General features: G+C 39.3%; 1 annotated feature.

The window, feature by feature from the left end:
• Positions 5,032-5,349: a transcriptional cis regulatory region, noted in NCBI's record as "candidate enhancer chr15.1151 targeted for multiplex CRISPR interference". NCBI's record gives its function as "positively regulates SCG3 gene expression with high confidence in K562 cells {active_cell/tissue: K562}" and the evidence as "EXISTENCE:mutant phenotype evidence [ECO:0000015][PMID:30612741]".

Below are 6,000 nucleotides of genomic sequence, written 5' to 3' on the forward strand. Positions count from 1 at the left end.
TGTTTTTTTTGAGTATCCATTATGGATTCATGGATTTTTATTTGTCCAAAGTATTACTCTCAGATATCCTCAGTCACTACAGTCATTATTTTAATGCTAAAATTGTCTTGACTTTGCTAATCGAGGATCACTTTAAACATGGCCTTGGGTCTTCATATATATATATATATATGTTAGTTTTTTTTAAATTCAGATATAATATACACACAATAGAGGACCTAATTACAGCTTGAGGAATTTTTAAATACGTATACAGCCATGTAATTACACTCAGATCAAGATATTTACTATTTCCAGTACCCTAGAAGGCTCCTTCATGTCCCTTCCCTACCAATACTTACCCCCAGACCCAGAATAATCACCATTCTGACTTCTACCACCATAGATAAATTAGCCCATTCTTGAACTTCATATAAACAAAAACACGTGTTCTTTTGTGTCTGGCTTCTTTCACTCGTCATTATGTGTGCGAGATGTATTCCTGTTGTTGCATGTGGCAGTAGCTCATTCTTTTCTACCGCTGATCACTTCAGAAATGAAACTGCTAAACCAAGGGGTACATATCTTTTCATCTCAGGCATCTGGCATATGTATTTTTAGGCTTTTGATTTATATAACCCACCTGCTTTCCAAAAGGCTTATGCCAATTGCTCTCTCACCAGAACGATATACTTAAGGACACGTTCTTCCATATCCTTGCCAAATCTAGCATTTATCTTTTCAAAAACCTTTCCTAAATTTGAAAGAAAACTAATAGTTTCTTCCTTTGAAACATTGTGCTTCTCTTATTACTCATTGGGTGTTATTTTTCATAAGTTTTTGACCACTCACATATTTATTATTTGCAATATTTCTTTCTGAGTGTTCTTTTCAAAGACTGAGCTAGTTGTGGAGACAAAATAGGAACACAACCCTTTGTTATAATTATATATGTATAGTATGTATTGTATTTATACATATGAATGTAAAGTTCAATTATATTATAACTTTTAGTAATTGAATGTTAACCAATGTTATGCAAGAAAGTAGATTCCATGGCTAAAGAAGTTTAGGAAATGTTAAAAACTATTTTTGTTTTGTTTTTTAAATTGTGGACCTCATAAACTTTATGATGCTAATGTGTAATGCGAATCTTCTAATATTCCTGTGTTCCTAAGAGGAAAATTTATATAAAGTTCTGAAGAACACAATTTGGGTTATTCTGCCTTAGAGCACATTCTTAAAGTAAGATTTATCAGGAAAACTAAATGAAATGTCCCTTTTTTTCCCTCACCTTGGCTGTGGTAAGCCGAATTATACATCTTCTTCCACCTCATCCCACCCCCAAAGATGTTCTTGTCTTAATATGTGGAACCTGTATGTTACCTTCTACGACAAAAGGGACTCTACAGATGTGATTAAGTCATGAGGATGATCACATCCTCATGATGAGAAGATTATCCTGGATTATCTGGGTAGGCCCAGCCTAATCACATGGGTCCTTAAAGGAGAGAACCTTTTCAGGCTGTTGTCAGAGGGAGATGTGACCACTGAAGAAAGGTCAGAGGGAGAAGCAAACTCGCTGGCCTTGAAGATGGAGGAAGGGGCCATGAGCAATGAATGCGGCAGCTGCTGGGAGCTGGGAAAAGCAAGGAAACGGAGTTTCTTTAGAGTCTCCCCTACTGTCTCCAGAAGGAAGGCAACCTTTCCGACGCCTTGATTTCAGCCCAGTGAAACAAGTATTGGAATTCTGACCTACAAAACCATAAGATAATAAATTTTTGTCATCTTAAGCCCCTAAATTTGGGGTAGTTTGTTTCAGAAGCAGTAAGAAACTAATATACTGGTCAACATTTAGTGTTGTCAATATTTTCAATTGTTGCTAATTTGAAAATTCAAAAATGATATTTTATATTCATTGTAAAATGAACATTTTATAACTTAATGAATTTTCTTCCTATTTTTGAATTTCTGTTTGTGTCCTTTTCCTATTTTTCTTTTAGAGTGTTTCCATTTTATCGTTGATTTATATGAGCTTTTTATATATTATGGAAATTAAGTTTTGCAGGTATTTTCCTGGTTTTTCAAACTTATAACACTTTTGTAATTTTTTAAAACATGAATTTTAGATATCTTATCATTCTTTTTCTTTATGTTTACTTTTCTTTCTTTCTTTCTTTCTTTTAAGGCAAGGTCTTACTCTATCTCCCAGACAGGAGTGCAGTGACATAATCACAGTTCACTGCAGTTTCAACTTCCGAGCTCAAGGGATCCTCCCTCTTTACCCTCTGTGGAGTAGCTAGGACTACAGGCATGCACTACCATGCCCTGTTAATATATTTATTTTTTGTAGAGACAGGGTCTGGCTTATTGTCCAGGCTATATTGTCCTGGCCTCGAGTGATCCTCCCACCTTGGCTTCTAAAGTTCTGGGATTACAGGTATGAGTCACAGCACCCAGCCCTTTATGTTTTCTATCTGTAATGTTTAGGATAGTGTTTTTCTTCTCAAGATTATGAAAGTAGGCTGAGCATAGTGGCTTATGCCTGTAATCCCAGCACTTTGGGAGACCAAGTCAGGAAGATCTCTTGAGCCCAGGGGTTTGAGACAAGCCTGGTTAATGTAGGGATGCCCTGTCTCTGCGAAAAATTAAAAAATTAGCTGGGCATGTTGGCTCACATCTGCAGTCCCAGCTACTCAAGAGGCTAAGATGGGAGGATTGCTTGAGCCTGAGACATCAAGGCTACAGTGAGCCATAATCATGTCACTGCACTCCAGCCTGGGTAACAGAGTGAGACCCTGTCTCAAAAAAGCACACAAACAAAAAGACTGTAAAAGTATTCACACATTTTTTTTCATGTTTTCACTTTACATGTTTGATCTGTATACAATTTATTTCAATGAAGGTGTGAGGAATACATTCATTTTTCTTTTTCTTTTTTGTTTTCTTTTAGACAGGGTCTCACTCTGCCGCCCAGGCTGGAATGCTGTGACACAATCATGGCTCACTGCAACCTTGATCTCCCTAGACTCAGGTGATCCTATCACCTCAGCCTCCCTAGTAGCGGAGATTACAGATTCATGCCACCACATCTGGCTAATGTTTTATTTTTTGTAGCGATGGGGTTTCACTGTGTTGTCCAGGCTGGTGTCAAAATCCTGGGCTCAAGCAATCCACCCACCTTGGCCTCCCAAACATTTTAATAAAAAATTGTTAGCTAATCATACAAACATCATTTAAATGTGCCCTCCAATGTTCATGTGTTGAAAACTTAATCACCAGTGCAACAGTGTTGTGAAGTGGGACCTTTAAGAAGTGATTATGTCATGAGGACAGAGCCTAACCCTGGAATTAATGGGATTAATGGACTAATGTCCTTATCGTGGGAATGGGTTTGTTGTAAAAGTGAGTTCAACTCTCTTGCACACTGTCTTGCATGTGATGCCTTCCACCATGTTATGACGCAACAAGAAGGCCCTCACCAGGTGTGACCCCTTGATCTTGGACTTCCCAGCTCCAGAACCATGAGGCAAATAAACTCCTATTGTTTATAACTTATCCAGTCTCAGGTATTCTGTTATAGCAGCACAAAACAGATTGATTTTAAATGCCACTTGTACAGTGTACTAAACCACCATATTGCAGGGAAACTAGTTAGAAAGCTATGACAGTGGTTCTATTTCTGGACTGTTTTTTTCTATCCCTGTGCTGGGGCCAAATTGTTTTAGTTACTTTAGCTTTATAATTTAATATCTGGCCAGCCAGCTCACCTTCATTTTCTTTTAAAACTTTCTTGCTTATTCATTTATGTGTTCATTCACTCAAAAAATGTTTATTGAGCACCTACTCCATGCCAGACTCTGTTCCACGTGTTGGAATATGAGATAGACAAGGTTCCTGGCCTCAAAGAGCTTGCATAGTCTAGAGGAGGAGATGGACCATGAAGCAAATTTATTAAATGTTGTCATAAATACCAAGAAAGAAAGAAATAGGGTGATGTAATAGAAGATAATTGAGTAAGGACAGGATGAGGAGCTAATTTTGTAAAGGCAAGCTATAAGCAGAAAGAAGAGCAGGTGCAAAAGTCCTGAGTTGGGACAAAGCTTGTCATATTTTGGGAGTGATATGAAGGGTGGCCTTGGGACCAGAGCAACATGATAGAAGAGAAAAAGTGGGTATCTTCCATGTTCTCCTTCTCCTAACTTCCACTGTCCACCTTGCCCTGTGCCCAAGAAGGCTGACTTCTAAGGGTTGCCTCAATGGCACCCTTGTCCTCTAGTTTCTGGTTGAGTTCAGTCACTGGGGGGCACTTGTAGGAAATGAGAGGAAGGGAGGAGAGTGGAGTCAGGAGATTTATTTCCTTGGCTGCCTTTCTGATGGGTTGTCTCCTGCTGGCTGCATCCTCTACTGAAGGCTGCAGGTCCTGTCAGTTCTCACACCAGGCTCAGGCTTTGGGTGGTAATGGCTCCCTGCTGTGACTGGGCATAGGGGGATAAAACTTCCCATGTTGCTTTGCCTAAACTCCACACTTATCTTTGATCAGACTCATTTTTTAAAGATCACCCTGGTTGCTTTAAAGTATGAACTGGAGGGATGGAGGTATACGGCAAGAGGAAGGGAAGCAGAGAGAGACTGATAGTAATGTAATTAAAACCAAGACTGACTTGGAAGAAATCTTGAATGTATAGATACTGAGAAACACAGGACTCAACTCCATTTATTCTTTCAACTTTTTCCATGACTATTTACATGCCAGGCACTACTATAGGCACTCAGAATAGATGGATCAATACATTATATTATTAGATAAATAAATTATATAATAATAAATAGATGGATAAATAAATTATATAGCATGCTTGAACGAGACAAGTGGCAAGGAATAATTAAAAAGTAGAACAAGGTCATGGGGTTTGGAGTACAGGAGTGGAGAAAGAGGGTGCAATTTTAAAAAGCCCATCACTGAGAAGGTGACATTTGAGCTAAGGCTTGGGGAAGGTGAGGAAATAAACCATGTAGACAAGAGGGTCACAGTCAAGGCTCCAACGTAAGGGTGGGTCTGGCCATGTCAGCAGCAGCAGAGGCCAGTGTGCCTGGAGCTCAGGGAGCTAGGGAGAGTAGAAAGAAAGAAGGTCAGACAGGCCACAGGAGCAGCAGAGAAAAAGGAACTGCTGGTTTCTCTTCCCTGCCCCCACCCCGCCCCCTCCATGAGTCAACAACCCATCCTCTCTTTTGGGAAGAGCTGAGGACTTTCACACAGGCTCCTCCTGGCCACTGTTTCATGCCTTATTGAAAGCGGGGCGGGAGGTGGGGCCGGGGGGAATCACTAATCACTCTTAGTTTCTCAGATTACATTCATTCGAAGTATACCTATGTAGTGTCTGACAAGAAATGCTGGCCTAATTCTTCAAGGATTGTTAATTGCACCACTAATCTTGCAGAAGAGTTGGCAGCTAAGTCACTTTGGGTCACCGGAGGACGACTGGCTGGAGGATGGGCTTTAGAGCACCAGAGCAACGTTATTGATTTTCTGCTCCACTGAGGAAGATGTTAAATTGTATTTTCAGAATACCACTGGGAGAAGGAAGAGGAAAGAAGAATAGTCTCTCTTACTACTCCCTCCCTCAGTGAGGAGTAAATTTAAAATAAACCTTTTGTACAAAGCTTTTTATTGTGAAAAATTTTGAGAGGATAGTATATTGAACGCCTGTGTATTCATTGCCAAGAAACAATAATTATCAACTAATAGCCACTCTTATTTTTTCTCTTTATCTATTTATCTAACTGTGTATTTTCTTTTCTTGGGTATTTTAAAGCAAATTCCAGGCATCAATATCTGTTGAGCACTTACTATAAGTCAGATGCTATTGTAGATGCTAGGAATACAGCAATGAAAAATAGTATGCAGACAAAAATCCCAGTCCACATAAATCTCACATTCTAGATGTGGGGGAGAGATAACAAATAAAAACAATAAGTGAAGGTGCAATACACTGGATGGTGGTAAGTGCAATGGAGAAA

This window comes from Homo sapiens, chromosome 15 (assembly GCF_000001405.40).
Source record: "Homo sapiens chromosome 15, GRCh38.p14 Primary Assembly".
NCBI lineage: Eukaryota > Metazoa > Chordata > Mammalia > Primates > Hominidae > Homo > Homo sapiens.